At 35.5% G+C, this 27,688-nt stretch overlaps 2 protein-coding genes across 13 annotated transcripts in view; one reads left to right on the top strand and one right to left on the bottom strand.

Moving 5' to 3' along the window:
- The window catches only part of NLRP14 (NLR family pyrin domain containing 14), a 70,455-nt gene extending 67,525 nt beyond the window's left edge, over positions 1–2,930 (bottom strand). The window contains exon 1 of one of the 3 annotated variants that reach the window (XM_011520044.2): positions 2,606–2,930. The gene's annotated coding sequence lies outside the window, so the exon portion shown is untranslated. The remainder of the gene's footprint in view (positions 1–2,605) is intronic. The other 2 variants (NM_176822.4, XM_047426867.1) reach the window with 2 other exon arrangements.
- ZNF214 (zinc finger protein 214) lies at positions 3,030–26,291 on the top strand. 10 transcript variants are annotated; one of them, NM_001354830.2, is made up of 4 exons: positions 3,030–3,303; positions 3,631–3,693; positions 20,525–20,667; positions 21,821–26,291. In NM_001354830.2, the coding sequence occupies exons 2-4, from the start codon at positions 3,677–3,679 to the stop codon at positions 23,512–23,514; spliced, it is 1,854 nt and encodes a 617-aa protein (NP_001341759.1). In that variant the 5' UTR covers positions 3,030–3,303; positions 3,631–3,676; the 3' UTR covers positions 23,515–26,291. The 10 variants fall into 10 exon arrangements, 9 of the variants coding, with proteins under 9 accessions (NP_001341759.1, NP_001341760.1, XP_006718372.1 ...); NM_001354831.2 differs by having other exon boundaries at positions 20,521–20,667; NR_148988.2 differs by lacking the exons at positions 20,525–20,667; positions 21,821–26,291 and adding an exon at positions 7,352–7,556.
- Positions 26,292–27,688: the final 1,397 nt, after the last annotated feature.

Genomic DNA, 27,688 nt, shown 5'->3' with positions numbered 1-27,688 from the left:
ATATATATATTTATATATGTAATATAATTAAAATTATATATTTAAAATTTTATTTTATAAAATATATACTTTATCAATCTTAAAATACCTATTTTAAGATTTTATATATATAAAATTAAAATTTAAACATATTTAAAATTTTATATGTGTATATAAAATGGTTATCTTCTCATTCAGGTATTCGTATTCTTTCCTCTTCTCTGGTGGATCTGATCTGCTGTCATACACACCTATTACATTCTCAATTTTATTTTTATTCATAAAATTTTAATTTGATTTTCAATTAAAATTCCTGATCTTGTCAACTCTTCACCATTACTGAACATATTAATCACCATTATGTTTAAAATATATATTTGTTGGCTCAATAATTTAGTCATCCATGAATTTGTTTCTATTGTCTTTCTTTCTGTCCTTATAATTTTTGGGTGAATTATCAGACATTGTATACGAAACACTGTAGAAGTTCTGAATGATAATATTCCTCCTGAGAGAGTTCCTCTCATAGGCAGATAGAGAGGGGGCAGATAATAACAATCCAGTCAGGTATGGAGCTGACTCAAAGTTGAATTGCAGCTATATCTCTATTTATTGCCAGTTTGCTTCTGTTCTTATTCTTTTGCTCTCCAGGAATTCTAGTTGGGTATCTATTCCTTGATGGGTTTTGAACTATAATCTTTATCTCCTCCGATCTGTGATGAGACTTCTGAAAATTTTCTGTGCACTTCAACAGCTTTCTTCTTATCTTCTTTCCCTGTTCATCTTAAGAATTCTGCTAATGTTTGAAGAGAAAACCACCAAGTTTTAGGTTGGCTGCTTAAAGATTCCCTTTTCATCAGGATCTTGGCCCCTAAATCCCTTGCTGTCTTGTCAGACTTGACTCCAATTTTTGTTCTTAGTTATGTGACATTAACCAAAATTATGGAAAATTCTATGCCTTCAAGCCACAGTCATATTCTTAGATTCTTCAATTATTTGCTATGAAGAATCTGCAACATCTTGGACTAGGAACTTGGGCTATCCCTCTCTTCCCATGCAAGGCAGTTTCTTCACTCCTACCCTGGGTACATCTCTAGGCATCTGGTGACTGCTCCCAGGACCCCCATCAAAGCTGGTGCTTTGGGTCTCTGCACATTCAAGCCAGGGAGGGTCCATGACCAATAATTTTCAAAATGTAGCTTCCAGAGTCATAAAAAATGCAGATGCTCACTGTGTGGTGGACGGAGGCAGATAGGCTCTAGGCCGGGCACCCCTGCTAAACCCCAAACTGTAACTGGGTAGAATTCATTCCTAAAAGTCTTGCGTATGCTATACTTGGTGCTCTTTGTTATTCATATTGGCCTCTGCCCTTTAGCAGGTATATTCCTTCAGATACACATTTTGTTTCTCTGAAAACTGGATCCTCTTAGCTTTTTTTTTTTCTTTTAATTTTGGTTAGTTCAATGAGGTTCAGGTAATATTCTCAGGTTGGAAGCAGTGTGGCAGAACAGCCCACTTCCAGTGTTCGTTCTTACCGGTCAATGTCTCTGCATTCAGTAATTCAACTATCAATTGCGGCTATTTAAATACATTGCTTTTTAATGTATTTAAATAGCCGCAATTGATAGTTGAATTACTGAATGCAGAGACAGATTTAATGGGTGCAGCACACCAACATGGCACATGTATACATAGGTAACAAACCTGACCTGGACGTTGTGCACATGTACCCTAAAACTTACAGTATAATAAAAAATAAATAAATAAATACATTGCAATTTACAGGTGAAAATACTTAAGGGTGAGCGGTTAAACAACTTGCTTACCACCACCTAGTGGATAACAATGATTGACAGCTCTTAATGTCAGTTCCGTCAGACAACAAAGCCCACATTTTTAAAATGCTATGCTATGCTCTCTGAATGTTCAAACCAGGGAAGGCCCACGCCCAGTAATTTTCAAAATGTGGTCTCCAGAGTCATAAAAAATGCAAGAGCTTATTGTGTGGTGAACTCAAGCAGATAGGCGCTGGGCCACCCACCCCTGCTAAACACCAAACTGTAAATATATAGTTCACAAGACTACTTCCTATGTGCAAGGGGCTGGTTTAAGCATTTTAACTACACTAACTCATTTCAATCTAACAAGTCTGTTACATAGTTACTATTATTATTGGCTATCAATATTACGCCTATTAAGCTGATGCTTAAAGGTTAGGTAATCCAGCCAAGATCTCGTAAGTGGTGTTGTCAGATTTGAATCCAAGGAGTCCCTTGCTTGTAATGACTATCCTACCAAAAGTTCCTTGCCTAATAAAATGTTTGAATATTACTGATCCAGCCCAAGTTTGAAGGACAGGGCCCAAAGATGCGAAAGTATTTTCCTAATATAACACACTCAGCTAAATAATAGAACAGGCTCTTGCAACTCTCTGTGGTCCCAGGACACTGAGGAGGGGCTCCTTCTCATGGCTTCATTTCAGCTCCACTGTGCGTTTCCCTTCTCTGCCTGGAGTCTCCAGAGGAGCCTGGGATTTGGCAAGAAGGCGGGAGGGAGGAAAGCCTCACTGGACCAGGAACGAAGAGGGTGTCTGGCAACAATAGGACGGAATTTGAAAACCTCTAACCTTGAGTTTAGAGCGATGCTAGCTAGTGCCAGGGCTAGTGAGGTGCCCATTCCGCCAAGGCGCGGGACAGCGAGGACAACCACGCCTTGCCAACCAAAGGCGACCTGACAGCGTTTCCTCGGGGTCGTCGCGGTGGTGAGGGTCACAGAATTCTCCGAAGCCAGTAGCTCCGTTTCCAGCCACGCCCCCTTTCCCAGGGCCCTAAAAGCTTCGGGAGTTCTCCTATTCCATTAATGCTGGTGCGTCCTCGCCTTATCCCCCGAGCGCCCGCAGCTCCCGCCCGCGCAGGAATGCCAGCGGCCAAAGGTCGGGAGGCGCGGGATACTTCTGGCCAATCAGGAGTCACGTTTTCCCGCGCTCTCTCTTCCCGCCCCGCCCCTCCCGTATCCATGGAAACACTGCGAGTGTCTACTCCAAGACCTGGGACTTCCGTTTCGGTCCAGCCGGGCTGCGGCCATTGTTTGTGTGGACTGAGTGTTTTGGCCATCCCGGTCCACTCTCACAGGCTCCGTTAAGTGACATGAACTCTCAGGAGGACTGAGCCAGAAGCGGACAGGGCAAGACGAGCTGTGCTTGAAGGAAGAGGGGCAGAAAATCGAGGGTCAGGGACTGAGAAGCTACTCCGGTTTAGAAACCCCAGAGACACCCGTGTAGATGGGTACATCACGGCTTCTCTCCCACGTTAAGACTTAATAAAGGCAAGTAGAGGAGGGCAGAAGCAGCTTGGGCCCCGGGGTATGGGTGCCCGGTGTTCGGTGCCGGGGCAGAGTTCTGGCCGGGGATCTGGATAAGCAACGGAGGCCGCGCGCGTCTTCAGTGCAGGAGCAGGGGACCCCCGGGTCTGTGGCGGAGACCGGGAGATCCCGCTCCTAGAGAACCGTTCGTGTGTCTGGTTCTCTGGTGCTTACACTTGGGCAGCCCGTGACGCGTTGGGGGAGCCCAAACCTGTCCTGCTCTTGGGGCACGCATGAAACGTTTTTTCCCTAGAGAAAGAGGGTTAACTAATTGCTTATTACTTTGCCCAGGAACCTACCTTTGATCAGCAAGGAAGGACTGGGGTGGCAAAGGCTCATGCCCCCATTTTACAGGTAAGGAAACTGAGATCTTGGAGATCTATAAGTTTGGTCCTCTTTAAAGTTCTACAAGTGCTTGATGGCACAGTTGAGACTTTGATCAGGACCTGGGAGCTCCAGTTCTGGGATACTTCTCTAAGACTCCAGGTACTTTTCTGATAGTAAATCCAGTATTCCTGTTTAGCAAGTAGGGGAGGACAATGGAATGATTTTCTACTTAAACTGAACAAAATAAGAAAAATACCTTGAGAATAGATACTATTTAAGTGTGCTGGTGCTTTCCTATTATTGTTAGTAGTAATAATAATCTCAATAAATAAGTGAGTTGTATCTTTTGAAGTTTCTAGAGGGTTGGAAATAAATTTCAAGGTGCCAGTGTTCATAGCTCTCCTTTCTGGTCGTTGAAAGGAAACAAGAGCATTCATAGGCTTCTTTTGGACCTCTTGCTAGGAGATGTGTGCGTCATACCCAGTTAGTATATGGGAAATTTAATGAATTTGGGAATTTAAAGCCATACCCAGGTTTTCAGTCTGCCTTCCTCCTCAGCTCAGCCGTCTCAGCACTCTACCCTTCCCCAGAAGAGGAACACAAAGGAGGAAGGAATGTACACTGTTTCCCTCATAGTCTGATCCCAAGTGAGGATGATTGTCTTTTCTCATTTACAAAATGTCCCTGCATTCTCCATGGGTGGTGGAGGTGGCAATGAGGATGGATGGATGACTGGACAGAAAACGTTCCTCGCTTGCCTGTGAAATTTTCGAGCGTGCAGACTTGACCCTGCCCCAACCCAGTGTCTTTTCCCAACATTTACTCATTCATTCATTCAGTCACTCAAGTCTAGTGTATAATTCATGCTGTTCTTGGTGTTCTGAGATAAAGAATTATAAGAATGTCATCGCCAGGCGCGGTGGCTCACGCCTGTAATCCCAGCACTTTGAGAGGCCAAGGTGGGCGGATCACTTGAGGTCAGGAGTTTGAGACCAGCCTGGCCCACATGGTGAAACCTCGTCTTTACTATAAATACAAAAATTAGCCAGGCATTGTGGCAGGCACCTGTAATCCCAGCTACTCAGGAGGCTGAAGCAGGAGAATTGCTTGAACCCGGGAGGCTGAAGTTGCAGTGAGCCAGGATGGCACCACTGCACTCCAACCTGGGCAACAGAGGAAGACTCCCTCTCAAAAAAAAAAAAAAAAAAAAAAAAGTCTTAACATTGGGGGTAATAAACTATATGAGATTAATAATAATTTCTGAAGTTATCGACATTAAACAGTGCCAGAATGAGTGGCACTTAAAACACAGCAACAGAAACTCAGATTTGAACAATTATGAGTAGGAAGATATTCTAAATAGGAAAGCCATCATTTACTCTCAGGTACAATTTGAGGGAACAAATAAGGAAACCAGGCTAGTGACAGGGAAGTGAAACATGAATGTATAAAGCCACATTGTGGAAGGCAATTAATGTTTAAATTTGTTATTTATTCTTGTGCATCTCTTCACATGAACCATATTGACAGCCATTGTTGACCTTTGGGTGTATTTACTTGTAGTCTTTTATTTAATACTTATTGTATATATGTACTCACTAGTCTGTACAAATACTGATATGTATGTATACATGTTCATACACATGTACAAATATAAACTTAGGTATATGCACACACGTATATAAAAAGATTAGTATATATAAAACATTAAATTAAAAAATTTGACTCATGACAAATAGTCTCCATGAGGGAAGGAAATGTTCCCAGTATATAGAAGTGTACTGTGCGTATACTAAGCACTCAGTAAATATTTATTCAATGTATGAATAGCTGTTATTTGTATACGTTTTTCACTTAACATATAATGAGCATTTTTCCAAGCATGTTTTGGTAGCATGAGTTTTAATGACTGTATAGTGTTCCATTCTAGGTATATAGTATGCTTTATTTAAGTTTGCTTTTTTTTTTTTTGAGACGGAGTCTCGCTCTGTCGCCCAGACTGGAGTGCAGTGGCATAATCTCGGCTCACTGCAACCTCAGCCTCCCTGGTTCAAGCAATTCTCGTGCCTCAGCCTCCCGAATAGCTGGGACTACAGGTGCACGCCACCATGCCCAGCTAATTTTTTTGTATTTTTAGTAGAGATGGGGTTTCACCGTGTTGCCCAGGCTGGTCTTGAACTCCTGAGCTCAGGCAATCTGCCCACCTTGGACTCCCATTAAGTTTGCTTTTTACTGGGGAAAATTTAAGTATTTCCCAATATGTTGTTGTTATAAATATCTTATAATAAATATTCTTATACATAATTTGTTAAGTATATGTCTTTTTATTTTCTCAAGATATACTCTGAGAAATAGGAAAACAGAATCAAAGGATATAAGCATGTTTTAGGCTTTTGAAAAACTGAAGTTCTCTTTTAGAAATGTTATGTGAACTTGAACTCCTACAACCATTTGATGAATGATTCTATCTTACTGAGCCTTTGCCAGCACTGAGTATTAAGTTTTAAATTTTGCCTTGATTTGCATCCTTTTTAATCCTTAGTAGGGTTGACTTTTTCACATATATTCGTTGACTCTTTATATTCCTTCTTTGATGAATTGCCTTTTGATATACATCACTGTTTTCCTACTGAATTTTTTGTTTCCACTTGATATTAGATATTCTTGTGTGGAAAACATATAAATCATTTGTCATATGCTGTAAATATTTCTCCTAGTTTATCATTTGCCTTTTACTTTAAGGACTTGTTTATATAAGTTTTAAATTTGCATAAAATGAAATCTCATTTCTTTTACTTATATAGTTCTGTGCTTTGAAATCTCTTCTTCACTTCCAAATTTAATATGTAATTGCTTTCATTTTCCTGTTTCTTAATTGTGTTATTTTAAACATTTAATTTTTAAATCTATCAAGAATTTATTTTGATGTGAGAAATGACAGAATTTAAACATTCTTTTTACTTCCTACTTAGGTTATTTAATTTTTCTACTAACATTTATCTTCTCTACTGACTGTGGTGCTACCTTTTCATATACAAATTACACATACACATATGTATACAAAGATTACTTTTGAGGCTGTCTTGTTTTGTGGAGCCTCTTCTCAATTCTTACACTGGTATCAGAATGTTTTTATTGTTGTCCCTTTATATGTAGTGCATTTAATACGCAATGAAGAAGAATGTAGCATTTCTTTTTCACTCAGTGAAGATAAAAATGAGAGAGGATGGCTTTTTCCACAGAATAATATTCTGATGATTTCCATTTTGGTCAAAAAGATGTAAAAGGAACATATATATAATAAGTTTTAGATAATAAGTATATACTAACCTTTCATTATGTTTAATCAATATAGCACATTGGTCATAGTACAGGCTCTACATCCACTACCTAAGCTTATTGCATGTCTGTCACTTCTTAATACTGTGAACTAGATTGAATCACTTAGCTAGGCTTTCATCTTTATAGTGGAGAAATAACAGCTGCTGTGTAGGGCTGTTAAGAATGTTAAACAAGATCATACATGTAAAAATAACTTAGAACAGTGCTGGACATGAAGAACTAACAATTGATTGCATTGTTAGCTATTATTTGAACTATAATGCATATCTGATATAATTCTTTTTAGTCACTAAGACGTAAGAATTGAGACAGAGTATCAAGCTTAATTTTTTTTTTTTGCCAGATGTCATCATTTGTCCCAACATCATTGATTGAATAAGCCGTCTTTCCCCCACAAATTTGATGTAACCTTTGTCATGTGTAAAATGCACTGTTGTACTTGTGTCCATTTCTGGATTTGTACCCGTTTCCATTGATCTTCTCTACTTGTATGTCAAGCCATGTTATGAATTGCAGAGTCCTTATTAAAGTTTTAATATGCCATTGAATTAGCCTCTCCTCATTATTCCACTTTCAAAATGGTTTTCTTTCAAAAGCATTTGAAAATCAGTTTGTTACAGCTCCTCCAACCCCACATCAAAATCAAGATTAATATCTTGATTAAATCTGCTTGAAAATAGAGATAAGTTTAGTTAGAACAAAATTATATTTATTTCTCCTAAGACTGAGCAGAGTCATCTTGTTTTTTCAAGCCTATTTGTTGTTGTTGTTGTTTTTGTTGTTGTTTTGAGACAGAGTCATCTTGCTCTGTTGCCCAGGCTGGAGTTCAGTGGCACACTCTTGGCTCACTGCAACCTCTGTCTCCCAGGTTAAAGTGATTCTCATGCCTCAGCCTCCCAAGTAGCTGGGATTACACGGGTGAGCCCCACATCTGGCTAATTTTTGTATCTTTAATAGAGACAAGGTTTCACCATGTTGGCCAGGCTAGTCTCGAACTCCTGACCTGAAGTGATCCGCCCACCTTGGCCTCCCAAAGTGATGGGATTACAGGCATGAGCCACCGCACCCGACCCCAACCCTATTTTTAGCACTCAAAATTCTAAAACTATCTTTATATAGGTTCTGGTATTTTTGGTAAATTTATTTTTAGGAATTTATATTCTTATTGCTATTATAAATTTCATTTAGGCAGAGCTTGCAGTGAGCCGAGATCATGCCACCGCACTCCAGCGTGGGCAACAGAGCGAGACTCTGTCTCAAAAAAAAAAAAAAAAAAAATTCTAATTATTATTTATATGTCTGAACTCTTTTTGTATACTCTTAGATTTTATGTAATTTGAACTTTATTATGATGTATTTCCTATAAGCAAAAGAATATATGAAAACATACGTACAATTTAAAATATAATAACACGGACACTCACCATTGAACTCGGCATACACTGTTTTTTCTTTTTAAGACAGACTGCTTTCTCTCCCAGCCTGGAGTCCAGTAGCGTGATCTCAGCACACTGCAACCTCCACCTCCTGGGTAGTGTTTTTTTTTTGTTTTTTTTTTTTTTTGTTAGAGACAGGGTTTCGCCATGTTGGCCAGGCTGGTCTCGAACTCCTGGCCTCAAGTGACCTGCCTGCCTCAGCCTCCCAAAGTGCTGGGATTATAGGTGTGAGCCACCATGCCCAGCCTAAATCAGCATATACTTGTAAAAGCCCTCTGATGACTCCAGAATTTCTTTCCCACCCCTCTCCTAAAGGGGCAGCCACTATCTTAAATGTTGTTATTCCTTAATTGTTTTTTCCTGCGCTTTTAACTACAGGTACATTTCTAAACACAATTGTTTAGTTTTGCATATTTTTGAACATTGTAAAATTGAATCACTATATATTCTTCCATGAATGGCTTCTTTTGCATAATGCTAAATTTTACAGTGCATCGATGTTGATTCATGTAGCTGTTCATTTTCACAGCTGTGTACTATTTCATAGTATGAACAACTTATCTGTTTTGTTGTTGGACTTTTTGGATTGCTTTAGTTTTTTGCTGTTACAGCATTTATTATGCTCTAACTGTTCTTGTACAGATCTTTTGGTATACATGTGTAATGTCTAGTTTATAATTCTAGTAACAGAATTTCTGGGATCATGAATTCCCTTATCATTGCCAGTAGTTTTCAGCTGATTTTCTTGGATCTCTCAGATATGCAGTCATATCCTCTACAGATAATTTTGTCTAATTGCATTATGCTGTAGTTTCACAGTAGTTTAAAAGTTGTGGACTTGCAGTATCCTTGTCAAGTTTCCAGTTTTAATGAGAATGACTTTAATGCTTTATCTTTGGGTTTAAGATATGTTTGTATGTCTTCTGCTTTGTTTTGTTTTGCATGCTTTGTCTGTAGTTTTAAATGAAGGATGCATGTTGAATTTTAATAAGTATACTTTTTGGCATCCATTACAATAATCATATGGCTTTTCTTATTTGATGTTATTATAAAAGCTTAAAGTTAATAGCTTTCCTAATTTGAACCTTCCTTTTCTTTCTGGAATAAACTACCACTTTACCATGATATAATATGCTTTGGTATTATAACAGATTGAATTTTCCAAAGATGGCCTTACTTATTGTTGGGGTGATCAGACCCAACACCAGGTCGTGGGGGTGACAAAGTCCGGCGGAGTCAAAGGATTGAGAAAAAGACAGTGAGAGAGAAAAGGAGGTGGGAACACCAGGGGGCCATCGCTATTGTACGGAGGCTGCGAAGGCCCCAAGCTCTGGGAGCCCACGCTATTTATTGGTAATCCAACAGAGAAACAGGTGGTGAGAATGTGGAGGTCAAAAGGACACGTTGCATTAAGCACATGATTTACAGCTGCGATAGTTTAGCATTTATATGGAACATGTTCTGCTACTTTAGATAGTGGGAATAGGAGCCTAGGAGGGCTAGAAGCAAGGAGCCAGCAAGTCTAGACACATTCCAAAGGACATTATGCAAACCCTGCCTCAGTTTCCTTCACAACACTCAGCTTTTTCCCAACACTTACAATTTATGCTGTTTTCATGCTCTTCTTATGATGTGACTGACATTGTTTCCACTGAAAGGTGGGGTCTGTGTCCCACCCCTCTCAAATACAGCCATGGCTTGTGATTGCCTCATCAGTGGAGTACAGTAGAAGTGATAGGATGTGACCTCCAAGGCTAAGTCATAAAAACAATGCAGCTTTTGCTTGACTTTCTTTTGGGCAACTTGCACCATGCTGACAGATAGCCCCCGCCACTTGAAAGGACCACGTGGAGAAAAAACAGATCTCTCATCAACATTTAGACCAGCCTGCCAGCCATGGGAGTTAGCCACCCTGGAATTGAATCCTTCTTCTCAGTCAAGCCTTTTGATGACTGCAGATGTAACCAACAACTTATCTTGTGAGATCCAAACCAGAGCTGCCTAGCTAAGCCACTCCTGAATTTGTGACCCAGAAAAAAAAATAAGAAATAGTAAATAATTATTGTTGTTTTAAGCTACTAAATGTTGAAGTAATTAGTGATATGGTAGTAGATTATGAATTCAAGTGCTGCTGGATTTTACTGGCCTTATGTTTCACTTTATTTCTGACGTCTTGAAGAGTTTTTCGTTTCTGATGCCTTGAACAGTTTTTGATGCCTTGGGATAATTTCATAGCATCAAATAATCTGTTCTTTGAAAATTTGAAAGAATTTGAGAAAACTTTTGTTCCAGTTATTTTTAAAGGTTGTAGTTGCTATTTCCCTAATCTTATTTTTATTTTTTTCTATTTGTGCTCCTTTTCCCCCCTTTGATTAACTAGCTTGTGATTTATCTACTTTGTTATTAATATTTTTCCTCTCAAAGGACTGGCTCTTGGATTCATTTAACAGTGGTAAATGTTTTCAAATTCCATCTTTTTTTTCATTAATTCCATCTTTTTTCATTAATTTTATAGTTTTCCCCTTAACATTTAAGTACTTACTTGATCTATATACTTAACCATTGTATATGGTATTAAGTTGGAATCCAGTTTTATTTTATCTCATATAGTTAATCAGTTTTCATAATGCTATCTGGTAAATAATCCTTACCTCTGTCTTTGATTTTTAATGCCACCTCTATTGTTAATATGTTTTTGTAGATAAAGAAGCACATTGGTTAGTCTCTGAGCCCTCTGCTCTGTTCTACTGGTCTATTTGTCTCTTCTGATTTTACTACTGTAGTTTTGGTGATATGTCAGTATCTGGTAGTCTTCCTGTTTGGTTTACTTGTCTTTACCAACTTATTTCCTTCCTTGTCAATTTTAAGGAACAGAAGTCTATTGCGTTCCTCAGAATAGCCATCTGAATATTTGACTGGAATGTATTGAATTTAAGTTACTGCATCCAAGAGCGTGGAAGCATGCTTCTCCTTTTATTTAGATAATCTTTCTTCTTTATTGGAATGTGAAAGTTTTCTTCAAATAATTATTTGTATTCTTGGTTAAGATAGGGTTTTTTTTCTGGTGTGAATGGTATCTTACTTTCTAGTAGTTGATTGCTGAGTCATTAAACTATTTATTGTATCTGATAGTTTTGCTGAACTCTCTTAATTTATAGTTTATTGTATACTCTTTTTCTAGGTAGATGGCCATAACTATGCAAATAATGACATTTTATATTTTTGCTTCTAATTCTTGTAGCTCTTAGTTCTTTTTCTTATAGTATTTGCCAGAATCTCTAGTGCTGTGTTGAAAGCAGCAGTGACGGTGGTCATTCTTGTTACCATTGTAAAGGGAATATATGTGAAGTTTCTCCATTAAGCTTAAAGTTCTTGATATTTAACCTTTGCCACTTTAGGGAGTTTATTTTTTTCCTCTAGTTTGCTACAAGTGTTTTTAAGAGAATACATCGGTGTTGAACTTCCTGAACTTTATAGCACTTGATTTTTCTGCATCAGTTGAGATTATCATGGATTTATTCTATAGTCTATTAATATAGTGAATTGTGTTAATAGATTTTTCTCATGTTGAACGATCCTTGCATTCCTATAATAAACTGTCTGATCATGATGCATATATTTGATATATTACTGAATTTAATTAGCTAATATTTTATTTAGGATTTTTGTATATTTACAAAATTTACAAATGTGCCTGTAATTTAATTTTATTTGTATCATTCTTATCTGGTCTTGGAATCCAAGATTATACTAGCTACATAAAATAAGTTGGCAATTTTCACTCTCTACTTTTGAAAACTATGTATTGTAATAGTAATTAAGTTAATTACATGTTTGCTAGAACTCAGCTATAAAACTCTTAGAGCCTTGGGATTAGGGAGAGGGAGGAAGAGCATGGCTACCATTTTAATTTAGTACTTACTAGTCTATATGATTTTTTATTAGTCTTTCATCTATTTTGCCATTTTATTTTTTTTATACTTCACTGGGAATTGATCCATTTATTTAGGTACATATTTAGGTGTATTTGCCTATAGCTCATAAATATCCTTATATATATAGTTCACAACACCCTTGCATCATTGAAAAATCTTATGTCAAAAGTTATTTCCTTATTTTGCTCTGTATTTTTTCATAACCGTGTTATTAAAAATCTGATTTTCATTGGTCTGACATTAAATTTTTAAGAACATCTTTTGGCTTTATGCATTTTCTCAATCATTTATTTGTTTCTTATATCTTTGACTTCCACTTTATTCTTCTTTTTTGAAGTTTGCTCTTTTTTTTTTTTTTTAATGGGGGATGGTTTCTCTTTTTTATACTCCTGAGCTGAATGATTTATTTCTAGCCATTTTCTTAACTTTTATTTTAGGATTAGGGTTATATATACAGCTTTGTTATATAAATTGTGAGTCATGAGTGTTTGACATTCAAATTATTTTGTCAACCAGGTAAAGCATAGTACCAGATAGGTAGTTTTTTTATCCTCTTCCTCCTCTCACCCTCTACCTTCAAGTAGGCCCTAATATCTGTTGCTCCCTTCTTTGTGTCCATGTGTTCTCAATATTTAGCTCGAAAATATAATTGAGAACGTGCAGTATTTGGTTTTCTGTTTCTGCATTAGTTCACTTAGGATAATGGCCTGCAGCTCCATCCATGTTGCTGCAAAGGACATAATTTTGTTCTTTTTTAATGCCTGTGTAGTATTCCATGGTATATGTGTACCACATTTTCTTTATCCCGTCTATTGTTAATGGGCATTTAGGTTGATTCCATGTCTTTGCTATTGTGAATAGTGCTGAAATGAACATACACATGCTTATTGTCTTTATGGTAGAACAGTTTATATTCCTTTGGGCATATACCCAGTAATGGGATTTCTGGGTATGGTAATTCTGTTTTAAGTTCTTTGAGAAATCACCACACCGCTTTCCACAATGACTGAACTAATTTACATTCCCACCATCAGCGTATTTAAGTATTCCTTTTTCTCTGCTACTTTGTCAGCATCTTATTATTTTTTGAATTTTTAATAATAGCCATCTGACTGGTATGATATGGTATCTCACTGTGGTTTTGATTTGCCTTTATCTGATGATTAGTGATGTTGAGCATTTTTTATATGCTTGTTGACTGCATGTATGTCTTCTTTTGAAAAGTGTTTATGTCCTTTGCCTACTTTTTAATGGGGTTGTTTTTTGCCTGTTAATTTGTTTAAATTCTTCATCGATTCTAGACTTTGGACCTTCGTCAGATGCATAGTTTGCAAATATTTTCTCCCATTCTGTATGTTGTCTGTTTACTCTGTTGATAGTTTCTTTTGCTGTGCAGAAGCTCTTTAGTTTAATTAGGTCCCATTTGTCAATTTTTGTTTTTGTTGCAATTGCTTTTGGTGTCTTCATCATGAAATCTTTGCCAAGTCCTATGTCCAGAATGGTATCCCCTAGGTTATCTTCCAGGGTTTTTACAGTTTTAGGTTTTCATGTAAGTCTTTAAACCATGTCGAATTGATTTTTGTATATTGTATAAGGAAGGGGTCTAGTTTCAATCTTCTGCATATGGCTAGCCAGTTATCCTAGCACCATTCATTGAATAGGAGTCCTTTCCCCATTGCTTGTTTTTGTCAACTTTGTTGAAGATCAGATGGTGGTAGGTGTGAGGCATTTTTTTCTGGGCTCTATATTCTGTTCCATTGGTGTATGTGTCTGTTTTCATATCAGTACCCTGCTGTTTTGGTTACTGTAGCTTTGTAGTTTGAAGTCAGGTAATGTGATGCCTCCAGCTTTGTTCATTTTGCTTAGGATTGCCTTGGCTATTTGGGCTCCTTTTTGGTTCCATATGAATTTTAAAATAGTTTTTTTTTTCTAATTCAGTGATGAATGTCATTGGTAGTTTGATGGAAGTATCATTGAATCTGTATACTGCTTCAGTATGGCCATTTTGATTATGTTGAGTCTATCCATAAGCATAGAATGTTTTTCCATTTGTTTATGTCATCTCTGATTTCTTTGAGCAGTGCTTTGTAATTCTTGTTGTAGAGATCTTTTACCTCCCTGGTTAGCAGTATGCATAGATATTTTATTCTTTTTGTGGCTATTGTAAATGGGATTGCATTCTTGATTTGGCTCTCAGCTTGGATGTTGTTGGTATATAGAAATGCTACTGAATTTTGTATATTGGTTTCGTATCCTGAAACTTTCCTGAAGTTGTTTATTAGCTAAAGGAGCTTTGGGGCAGAGACTCTGGGATTTTCTAGGTATGGAATCATGTCATCTGCAAACAGAGATAGTTTGACTTCCTGTCTTTATTTGGATGCCTTTTCTTTCTTTCTATTGCCTGATTGCTCTGGCTAGGACTTCCAGTACTGTGTTGAATAGGAGTGGTGAGAGTGGGCATTCTTGTCTTTTTCTGGTTCTCAAGGTAAATACTTTGAGCCTTCACCTATTCAGTATGATGTTAGTCTAGCTGGGGTTTTTTAATTTTATTTATTTATTTATTTAAGACAGCATCTCGCTCTGTCTTGCAGGCTGGAGTGCAGTGGTACAATCACAGCTTATTGCAGCCTCAACCTCCCAGGCTCAATTGCTCCTCCTACCTCAACTTCTTGAGTAGCTAGGACCACAGGTGTGGGCCACCATGCCTGGCTAATTTTTGTATTTTCTGTAGAGATGGGATTTCTCCATATTGCCTAGGCTGGTCTCAAACTCCTGGGCTCAAGCAATCCGCCCACTTGGGGCTCCCAAAGTGCTTGGAATTACAGGTGTGTGCCACTTTGCCCAGCTGCTCTAGCCATTTTTGTTTCCTTCAAGTATTTCATTTGGATCTTGCACATTTTTTACGTAATTATTGTCATTATTACATTTAGATTTTGAAGAAAAAACAATTAAGAATTGTTATATTTTTCTTTTAAATTTGAAGATTATTTAATAATATAGTATGTTACTTGGGTTTCAGAAGTGTGGACTTTTAAAATTCTATTGTTAATAATTTCAAATTTTATTACATTGTAGCTAGATAATGTATTCTATATTATGTTGATGCTTTGGAATTTATCATGATTTCTTTTATGGACTAATACATGGTCTATCTTATAGTACTATGTATTCATGAAAATAATCTGTATTTTGTATTTTGATGGTGTAGAGTTCAACACAGATAAAATAACTGAAGCTTATTATTTGTAGTGTTTAGTCTTCATATTATTAGGGTTTTTTGTTTGCTTGCTATAATTTTTTGAGAGGGACATATTAATATCTATCATTACAACTAATGGTATGTATATTTCCCCTCACATTTGTGACACTTGTCATTTGATACATTTTGAAATTTTATCTGTGGATTCAATTTATTTTGGATATTTTTTCCTACTGTTCATATAAAAAACATTTTTGTCCCTTATGGTATTTTTGCCATAAATTTTACTCATCTGAAATTAAGTTTGCTATTTCAGCTTTCTTTTGATTCGTATTTTTGCAATCTTTTTTTATCCTTGTATTTTTAAATATTTTTCTTTTTAGTGTATCTGTTCTAAACCACATGCTAAATCTTATTTTTTAATCTGAGTCTTTTAATCTGTAATATTAAATTATTTAAATTTATTATAATTATTTTATTATTTTTGCCATCTTTTCTTATTTTCTGTTTTCCCGTGGAGCAAGTTGTCTTCTGTTTTTATTTTGTTTTTCATAGATTTCATTTTGTTTCTTATGATGGTTGTGCTTAACTTAAAACCCACATTGACTTTTATTTACCCCTACTGACTTTTTAAATGTATTAATATCTAGGTCATATTTTTAATAAGACATGGACTTTAGCACACTCTTATATCTGTCTCTTTCTCCCCTCATGTTTGTATTGTCAAGAATTGTAGTTCAGATATGTAGGCACTGATATACTTTCTATGTCTCCTTTTTTCTTTGTTCACTCCTATTTCTTTTGTTGTTAGTTTTGTTTTATGATAACAATAAACTTCACCAAGGTACTTGATCACCTTTCTTGTCATATTTCATGCAGCCTTTCCTGGATTAGTTTCTCTTCTTAATTGACTTATTAGAAAAATAGGTAAGTGTATATGTTTAAAATATATTTAGGTTACTTATTAAAATAATAGAAACTATGTGTGAAATTGAAATCTATATAGATGAAAAGGTGGCGATGTGAAGAAATTAAAGCATAAAACTGTCAATCTAAGAGACAGGAAAGGAAGAATAAAAAATAATATGTTAGAAATAAGCCTGTATTAGTAATCACAATAAATGAACATGGATAATAAAATAACTGAGTCATACTGATTGAATGAAAAACAGAAATCTTTCTCTGTGCTCTTTACAAGAGACTTATTTAATGTCACAATAAAAGGTCAATAATGTTCAATAGTTAAGATCCATCAAGGAGATGTATTAGTCATGAACTAATATGTAGCTAAGAATCCATTTCAAATTGTATAAGCAAAATCTGACAATATTAGAAGAAGGAATCAAAACTCCAGATGTATAGAGAATGATTTTAACTGACCTTTCTTGAAAAGGACCTTAAAGAAAACTAATAATCGGAGAGAGCTGTGTTCATAGATGAGAGGACAAAAGAGATATCAAGTTTATATAATATTGTTGGGGGGTTACTTATATACCAAAAAAGGAGTGGAAAATTATCAGACTCCTGGGAGAAATAATACATCCTAGTTGGTCAAGGAAATGGAACAAGAATGAACCTGGACATTTGTTGTGCCAGAAAGTAAGGAAGCTCTCAAACACCAAAAAAGGTCATATTACAAACCCAGGAGCCAACCTGAAGGGATTCCTACTAGTCTGAGATGAGAGAATCTTGCACATCGAAAAGAAAAATGACTGCAATTTAATTGCAATCCATCCAGTATGTAAGAATCAGTGAGTATGAAAACACTGAAAAGCAAAATAATACAAATCTCACTGGTCATAGTTGGTGATTGCTTTGCCCCATCTCATTACTCTGAAAATTGATTTTTGAAAGAGAGTAAGTTTGGGAGATAATCAAGCATTTTATCTTATCTTTTTCATTAGGATTACATTTCAGGATAACCAGAAAATTTGTAATGGCAAGTTTTTCATTATAGAAGAATTATAGCATATGTATGCACAAGGTATGTAGAATTACAGAATTAGACAACCAATTTGTAAAACCTAATGAAATCACAAATCCAGGAAATGATCATCTATTGCTAAAACTTTTAGTGAAAGGTTTAAGAGAATCTTAGAATGGAAGGACTGGGCTGACAGCACCTGAAGCCATTGTTCAGTTTAGCTAACTAAAATGTACTATAGGAAGTATATAGGCAGGTATTCTTGTCGGAAAGAATGAACTGTAGTCTAATCAAGTCCCTGGAACAAAAGAACCAGCTAACAGGAAGTGAATAAAGAACTTAAACACCACAAGAAAACATTAGCCAGATCATTTTTAATCCTTCAGAATTCATTAGTTTGGAGTATATCTCTTATAAGCAGTATGCCACTTTATTTTAAAACTCAATTTTAGTATCCTTTTCTCTATCAATAGGCTTGTCATCTTAGTTTATTGTTTATATAATTCTTTTCTTCTTTTCTGTTTAGATTTATTGTACTTACTAATTTTGAATATAGATGTCTTGCTTTTATTGCTCCACTGGGGGAAAATATTTGTAACATATTTTTAAAAATATTTTCAAGGGACATTTTGTAGTATTTTTTAGTAAACTGAAATACAGATGCCTGACAATTTCACTTCTAGAAGTTTATCATACAGAAATATATCTATTTGTCATATAGAATTATTTATATTTATCATATAGACATTATCATATATAAATATTACAATAGAAATATGATATATTTAAGAGAATTCTTTTGCTATATGTTGTAGCCAAGAAACTGGAAATGATCTTAACGTCCATTAATATGGGAACATTTAAGTCTTGGACATCAATAAAATGAAATGCTACGTAACTTTTACAAATAATATTAGTTATCTATTATTGCATAACAAATTATTTAATACTTAAAACAGCAAACATTATCTCACCCAGTTTCTGAGGGTGAGGAATCTGGAAGAAGCTAAGCTGTCTCAAGGTGTCTCATGAAGTTGCAGTGAAGCTGTCAGCAGGGACTGTAGTCATCTGAAAGCTGCACCGTGGTTGGAGGATCCACTTCTAAGATAGTTTACTCACATGGCTGTTGGCAAGATGTCTCATTTCTCAACGAAAGCAGAAGGTCCCAGTTCCTCACCACAGGGCTGCCTAGGTTTTCTCATGACATGACATATAGCTTTTCCCAGAGCTAGTGATCCCAGAGAGAGAGCAAGAAAGAAGCTGCAGTGACTTTTATGACCCCGCCTCCAAAGTTGCATGCCACTACTTCCTTATCCACTTTATTTCCTATTCATCAGAAGTTACTCACCAAGTTCAGCCTATATTCAAGGGGTGGGGAATTAGGCTTCACTTCTTGAATGGAAAGGATCAAATAATTTGTGGGCATGTTTAAAAATTATCACAAATAAGACAGGTCTACCTGTACTGAAGTGGGAAGTTGTACACTATGTATTAAATGAAAAAAAGAAAATTGCAGAATTATCATGTCTTTATTAAGGAAAAAAATCAGTGAAGTATGAATGTGTGTTGTGTATACATGGAAGAAGGTTAGAACACAGTGAAAACTGGTTATAGTGGTTATTTCTTAAATTATTTGGGGGAAGGTAGGCTTTTAATTTTTACTTATGTTATTTCAGTATTTTAAATATTTATGAACTTATTTCCAGTAAAAGAAATTAGACTCCTAATTGCTAGTATGTTTTTAAAATAAATCCTTAAATTTTTTAAAAAATAACAAATCCAGTAACTACAGATTGAGTTTTATTTTTATTGTACTTTTTATAAAATTAGAGATCAGTGAGTCCATTTATTTTCCAGATACCAACTTTCACAGTTTTCAGTCCTGTAGTTTGAGTTTCTGAGCATCCCAAATTTTTCTTTTTTTAATTTATATATTTAAAGTGGATTCATTATATTTAAAATTTATTAAACTTATTTTATAAACATTAAAAATATACCACTAGGTATTTAAATACATGGCTCTGAATGTTCTCATTCTTGAGTTCTTATTTGTGGTTAATGTTTTATTGTTTAGACATGTATTTTCATGTAGTTTATTTGGAAAATAGTAGTTTGGTGGCATATTTTTTACCCTTGAATATTTCAGTACATCTTTCCTTTGCCCTTCTTCATTAACACATTATGACAGTATATGGAAATCTCAACTGACAACCCTTCATCAAACATTTTTAATTTATCTCACTTTTATTTAATAGGTAGTGCTGGGTTTAAAAACCTCTATGATGTAACTACATAATCTTATACAAGTAACTTAGTCTTGCTAAACGTTAGATTGCGTATTCATTTATTGTGAATAATAATACCTTATTGGATTGTTCTGAGAGTAAATGAGATAACATAGCCCTATTCATACAATAAACATTCAATAAGATTTAGCTGCAGCTATGATGGTGCTGCTGCTGCTGCTGATGATGATAGTATTTGGCTTTCCTTCCATTTTGTTGTAAACTCCTTAAAAGTATCTGTTTCCTTTATTCTTAGTAGGTACTCAATATTTTAAATTGAAATTTAGAATTGAGAATGTGTGATCAAATAGATACAATGAAAATTTTAAAAAATAAAATGGCTTTGTCACATAACCAATTTATGATCTGTTCTTTCCACTAAAATAATTACTTTAGGCAGTTTTAATACATATATTTATCTGTTTTCCATTCTAAAATGCATAATAGTAGTAGAAAGCTACCTACAACATGGGATTTCTGTGAGGAGTAACTGAAATATAGGTAAAAAACTTAGTAGACAAGTGCTGTATAGGTGTTTCTTTTGATAGTGATGATGTTTCATGATTGGATATATTATTTAGCTATTTAACTACTATTGTTATTACCTCTCCTTACCTTTCTTGGTTTTCTCCTTTACTGAAGTTCTTGTTTTTTCTATTCGGCTTGCCACATATCTTATCTGCTAAATGTCTTTATCTTTGTCCATCTTCTCACTTAGATTTCTTTTTCCTAGAAAGCCTGATCTTTGACCAGATGGCAGTAACATTTGAAGATGTGACTATTATTTTTACATGGGAGGAGTGGAAATTCCTGGATTCTTCTCAAAAAAGACTCTACAGGGAGGTCATGTGGGAGAACTACACAAATGTCATGTCAGTAGGTAAAGTTATCCCGTCTCATAGGGAATAGAGTTTCTTCTAGGAGCAGTTTTGTTGAGTATTTTGTTTTTTTATCTGGGTGTTATATTGAGGTGTTGGAAGAGATATTCTCAAAAATGTTTCTTAAATCATGTTACAAATAGAAGATAAAGCAAGACAGATTCCAGGACACCTAGGTTATATCATTAATAGATACTTGTGATTATTAGTTTTAGTTATTCTCTGCATTACCCTTAAAACACATATCTCCATATGTAGTCAATTTTGTGTGGTCCTAAATTTTTTCTCTCTTCATGCTATTTGTATAAGTTAGCTTTTGTTGTATAACATACTATGCCAGACTTAGTGGCTTAAAAACAAACTTTATTATTTTTTATGATTCTCATTGACTGGATGATCTTTTATCATGGAGGATTTGGTTGTGGTTGAATGGTCTAAGATTAAGCTGCCTGGCCTGACTCAAATGTGGGGCAGTCGGCTCAGTATCAGTGGAGGTAGTGGGAATGTGTTGGCCATATATCTCTCTTCAAACAAGCCAACCCAAGCACACTTACATGGTGGTGGTCACGGGATTTTCAAAAGCATCGAGAGAGGGCAAGGACTTTTCAAGTCTCTGCTTGTGTTACTTTTGTTATTTTCCCAGTTACCAACGCAAATTGTGTAGCCAAGCATAGAGAGAGTGTGGAAGGAGAACACCAAAGGTGTAGGTAAAGTAGTGAGTTAATGTAGTCATTTTTTCTCAATCTACCATGCTATTCTAGAACAGAAAAATAGGAACAATATATTTTGTTTCTTATAAGAGCATACAAAATGAAGTAATCTAATTAAATCTCAGTCTTTACGACTATTTCCATGAAGCAGTTGGCATTATTCTCATTTCTAACAGTGCGTGGTAAATAGAAGTTAAATCTTTCTAACAGTGCCTGCTCAAGATATGTTTGTGGAATGAATAAATAAGTGAATGAATGAATACATACATGAATGAACAAAATAAATGAATTTCAGACCCAAATGGAGCAGGCAGAGTCATAACCCTTCTTTCCTACCCCCAGCCACACATATATTCCTATCATTTAAAGGTCATTGATTTAGATAGTTGGAAATTTTTCAACACAGCTTTTATCTCACCATGGGATTATCTTTTTATTTTTCTAGAAAACTGGAATGAGAGCTACAAATCCCAAGAAGAAAAATTCAGATACTTAGAATATGAAAATTTTTCCTACTGGCAAGGCTGGTGGAATGCTGGCGCCCAGATGTATGAGAATCAGAACTATGGGGAAACTGTTCAAGGGACAGATTCCAAAGACCTCACACAGCAAGATCGTTCCCAGTGTCAGGAATGGTTAATACTCTCCACACAAGTACCAGGGTATGGGAACTATGAACTGACTTTTGAAAGCAAAAGTCTCAGGAACTTAAAATATAAAAATTTTATGCCTTGGCAGTCCTTAGAAACAAAAACCACTCAAGACTATGGTAGAGAAATCTACATGAGTGGTTCACATGGTTTTCAAGGGGGCAGATACCGTCTTGGCATATCCAGGAAAAACCTCTCCATGGAAAAAGAACAGAAGCTCATAGTTCAGCATTCTTATATCCCAGTGGAGGAAGCCCTTCCACAGTATGTTGGGGTGATATGTCAAGAAGACCTACTGAGAGATTCAATGGAAGAAAAGTACTGTGGATGTAATAAATGTAAAGGAATTTATTATTGGAACTCACGGTGTGTTTTCCACAAGAGAAATCAACCTGGAGAAAACCTCTGTCAATGCTCCATCTGTAAAGCATGCTTCTCTCAGAGATCAGACTTGTATAGACATCCAAGAAACCACATAGGTAAGAAGCTGTACGGATGTGATGAAGTTGACGGTAACTTTCATCAGAGCTCCGGAGTTCACTTTCATCAGAGAGTTCACATAGGGGAGGTACCTTATAGCTGTAATGCATGTGGTAAGAGCTTCAGCCAGATCTCTAGTCTTCACAATCATCAAAGAGTCCACACAGAAGAGAAATTCTATAAAATTGAGTGTGATAAAGACCTCAGTAGAAATTCATTACTTCACATTCACCAGAGACTTCACATAGGAGAGAAGCCTTTTAAATGTAATCAGTGTGGTAAGAGTTTTAATCGGAGTTCAGTACTTCATGTTCATCAGAGAGTCCACACAGGAGAAAAACCATATAAGTGTGATGAGTGTGGTAAGGGTTTCAGCCAGAGCTCAAATCTTCGAATTCATCAGTTAGTACACACAGGAGAGAAGTCTTATAAATGTGAAGACTGTGGTAAAGGCTTTACCCAGCGCTCAAATCTTCAAATTCATCAGAGAGTGCATACAGGAGAGAAACCTTATAAATGTGATGACTGTGGAAAGGACTTTAGTCACAGCTCAGATCTTCGCATTCATCAGAGAGTCCATACAGGGGAGAAACCCTATACTTGTCCTGAATGTGGGAAGGGCTTCAGTAAGAGTTCAAAGCTTCACACTCATCAAAGAGTACATACTGGAGAGAAACCCTACAAATGTGAAGAGTGTGGCAAGGGATTCAGTCAGCGTTCACATCTTCTCATTCATCAGAGAGTCCATACAGGAGAAAAGCCCTATAAATGTCATGATTGTGGAAAGGGTTTTAGTCACAGTTCTAATCTTCACATTCATCAGAGGGTCCATACAGGAGAGAAGCCTTATCAATGTGCTAAGTGTGGTAAAGGTTTCAGTCATAGCTCAGCTCTTCGAATTCATCAAAGAGTCCATGCAGGAGAGAAACCTTACAAATGCCGTGAATATTATAAGGGATTTGATCATAATTCACATCTTCACAATAATCATAGAAGAGGAAACTTATAAATATTGTTCATTTAGTTAACAGCTTTAATCAAAGTTTACCTAACCTTTAAACCCTATAAATCCTGCTGTTAAGGAAATCTTATAAATAACACAAGTAATCCCAAGCAACATTTATAGTTTCCCCTATCTCCCACTAAGAATTATTTGCTTCAAAAGGAGATCTTTAGAAAAAACCCTATATATTTAAAATTATAGTGTATTTTTCTTTACCTACTATAAATATAATACAGTCATAAATATATTAAACATTTAAGGAGAAAACTCTTCATTCTATTTCATTCTAGTCTTTTTTTCTGTGCATTTTAATGTGCATGAAATTGTGTGTTCAATTTTGTATTTTCACTGTCTTCAAAATATTTACTTAAATTTTGGTTTGAATTGAAACTGGTTGGCCAACTGTTAAACGACATCTCTTAACTCCCCTAAAAACTCCCTAGGAAGTAACAGAAAAGATGGAAACACATAGAACTTAAAACTCAGTTTTGGCCGGTAGAATTCAATTGTTTATGGACAAAAGCCACCTAATAAAAGATAGGAAAGCATTGTATGACATTGTGTCTGAGACAGTGTATCTGAGTTGTTATCTCTGTCAACCAGAAAACCCAGGGACCATCCTTCTGTTGCAGGGGTGCTTCACTTTGAGGTGACTACAGTGCACTCATCCCTTCCCTTTCCGGTTTTCCACGCTTAATAATAGGTTCAGATACCAAACAACAAGAAGTACAGAATTTTCTCTAAGGTGTGAAGGGTATGGACAAAAGTGCTAGAAATGGAAGATACTCCATTGGTTCGGAATTAGAGATCCAAGCAGTAGAATTTTATTTAATCTCAGTAGAACAGAGTGGTAATAGAGAAATATCTGCAAGGACAGCATTGAACTCAGAACTCTGTGCAACGATGAACCCTGAAGCTAATTATGTAAAAAGAGAGTTTGGCCATTATCTCAGAATAGAGTTAGTCGGAATACACAGTCTTAATTATTGATACACAAATATGCTGAAGTAATACCAAGAGAAAAAAAAGTGGACATGTTTAGGAAAATTAGAGGGAATTGCAATACTGAAGAAAAGAATATCATCCTAAAGACCTGGAAACTTATTGCCCTGAAAATTAGCTGCTGCAGGCTTCAGAGGAAATTTCCAGAAATGTTGGTGTCCTTAGTGGCATAACAGAGAATCTGAACTCAGTAAAGATAGAGTAGAAATATACAAGTAGAGAAGAGTATCTAAAGTGAAAAGAGAAATAGATACAACAAAGAAGGACTTCAGGGAGCTCTGAAATACTGTATCAAAATAAATGCAATAAAAAGTAACACTGAAGAATATAAAATAATTGATAGTTAATAGATAAACTTGATCTGATCTTAAATGTATCTGAAAAGGATAATGAGATGGAAACTAAGAAAGAACAGATATGAATATCAGAGGATGGAGGTCCAGTGTGAGAATTAAAGGTGTCTCTAAGGAAGGTGAAAGAACATTTGGCATAGAATCAATGATCAAAGACATTAAGAAACTTTCTCTGAGTTAAAAGTATATGGTCACTAAGTTTTAGGCAAAACCAGTATTAAAGCAACCTTAGAAACAGGTTAGAAAGAAGCAATTAAAAGCATGCAGAAAGAAAAATTCTGGTTATCTGCAAAACCAGAAAGGGAGGGTGGATACAGAGCTCTGCAACAGTAACTCAGAAGGCAATGGAGCAGCACGTTCAGAATTTTGAGATTTGAAAAGTTTATTATCACCAGTTTTATAACAAAAGTGTCTTTCATATGTGCAGGAAACAAATATTTTTGATAAGCAAGAAAACAGTGTAGCGTATATGTGCCTTAAAGAGAGTTTGTGAATGTGGAAATCATGGTATAAAAGGACTAGTGATAAGCACTGAAATCAATTAGATATGCAGTTGTCTGGATAGTTTCCAAAACTTCAAAAAATTAAATGTGCAATAAAAATATACAAATGCTGAGTGTAAAGTGTACAAATGCTGAGTCTGGGTAGGAGAGTAAGGTTGTCAGGACACCCAGTTAAGTTTGAATTTCATATAAGCAAAGAATAATTGTTTTAGTATAAGGGTGTCCCAAATATTGCATGGGACTTACACTAAAATTTCATACATTTGAAATTCAAATTTAACTGGTCATTTCTGTTTTTAGTTGCTACATCCGGCAACTGGAGAGAGACCATAAGTGCCACATTTCTGATCTTAAATAGCAGGGACTCATAATAACATTTTCTTTTTGAATGACAATTTAAGAAAGGCCTTTTTTTTTTTTTTTTACAAACCTAAAATTACAACTTAATAAAACTAAAAAAAGTGCATATACCTTTCAAAATGGGAGAAGATAAAAGCAAAAATTATTCAGTCTCTGTAGCAATGACTACCAAAAAAATCCCCAAGAAGTTGGCCTAAAATATTAAAATAAACGGATCAAGATGATTAAAGCCAAATGTATCAAAACACGTTCAATGCTTCATTTTAAAATGTTGAAAACACTGGGTTAAAAATTTCTAATTATGTGCTATAACAGATGAAAATGTGATATTGCTTAAATGTGAGACCAGGTGAAGGTTTATTAGACAAACATAAAGGAGTACCTACAATATGTTTTTAAAGGTGAAAAGTGCACTAATTTAAACTCATTAAGTTGGGCAAAAATACAAAATCATTAGTTTTCTAAATTCTTGGAATATTCAGGAAATGTAATTGTCAAAAAATCTGGTTTTTAATTTACAAAAATGCAGAATGAAAATAATAAAAAACGGGGAAATATAAAAGAGGACTTGACTAGAGGAGTCTTAATTTTCCTTAAGGGAATGTTCCTAATTTATATATTTGTTTCAGATCTCATGAAAATCCCAATGAATTTGAGATAAAGATGTTCTAGTCTTTTAAGGAAAATAGACATTGGAGAAGAGCAAAGATAATTGTAAGAAAGATTAATGATATTGCCCTAACATATAATAAATTGTATATTGGTATATGAAGTTGTAATAATGGAGAATTTAATTGTATATTTGAAAAAAAAAGTTAGGATTCTAAGTCACTAAATAGCTTAGAAATATACCAGTGTATGGATTATATATGTGTATTTGAACATACAGTGCATATGCTTATAGAGTTCACACATGATAAAGATCTGCGAATAGGAGGATTATTCAGTAAATTGTGCTGAGATCATTATTTAACTCTTTAATAAAAAAGACTTTCATTTCATGACCTATATCAGAATAAAACATTGATTGAATACAGGTTTTCAAGCTGTGTTCCATGGACCTCCATGTGGTTTCATGAAGACTAGTATCTTCAGAAGCAAAAGAACTGCAAGTGTAGCCACATTTTATCTCTTCATATGCAAAAATGACTTGATTTTGTTTTTTTAAAGGAGGTTCCACTATAAAATATTTAAAATTCTCTAGAGGGATTTTTAAACACTCAGAAAAAATACACAATTTGACCACATAAAAATTTTTAAACTGGGTGAAAAACATATAAGTCAGACAAAAATAGGAGAAATATTTGCCATGATTGTGACAGTACAAACTCTTTTTAATTAAATGGACACCTAATTTAAAATTTTGACGAAGAACATAAACAGATTAAAGCAAAGCAGTATCACTTTTATTAACAAAAATGACAATAGCCATTTTCAGCAAGAGTATGGAGTGATGTATACTTATGCTTATGTTGAGGGTAAATTGATAACGACTTTTTGGAAAAACAATTTGGCCAATCCTGAGCCTTAAAATTGCTGTTACTCTTTGCTACAGTAATTCTACAGGAATATGTTCTATGGAAATAGAGTTTCATACTATTAGGGGGCTTGTAAAGAACAGGGTTATGTAACATCATATGGTAGAAGCTCATATGCACATACTCAGATCCCAGGATGTTATCTCACTAAAACAAGTGAGGGAGCAAGTGAGCCATGGAGCTCTCCATGGAAAAAGAATTCTGTGTAGAGGGTAGAGCAAGTGCAAAGGGTCTGAGGCTAGGAATGGACCTGGAATGTACTGCAGCACTGTAAGGGAGGAGGAAAACAGAGGGAAATTAAAGGTAATAGGGCCTTGTAAGTAATTGTAAAGGCTTTGTCTTTTATTCTAAGTGAAGTAAAAAGCCACTGGAGGGTTTTAAGTGATCTAACAAATTTAAACAGGCTTATTCTGAATGCTGTGTT

The sequence above is a fragment of the Homo sapiens genome, chromosome 11, assembly GCF_000001405.40.
Source record: "Homo sapiens chromosome 11, GRCh38.p14 Primary Assembly".
NCBI classification, from domain to species: domain Eukaryota; kingdom Metazoa; phylum Chordata; class Mammalia; order Primates; family Hominidae; genus Homo; species Homo sapiens.
The sequence above is the reverse complement of the archived record's forward strand: the minus strand, read 5'-3'. Positions and strand labels throughout refer to the sequence as shown.

Coding starts and splice junctions, on each gene's coding strand:
- ZNF214 (NM_001354830.2), top strand. Junction 20,668..21,820: donor CACAAATGTCATGTCAGTAG/GTAAAGTTATCC, acceptor TTATTTTTCTAG/AAAACTGGAATGAGAGCTAC.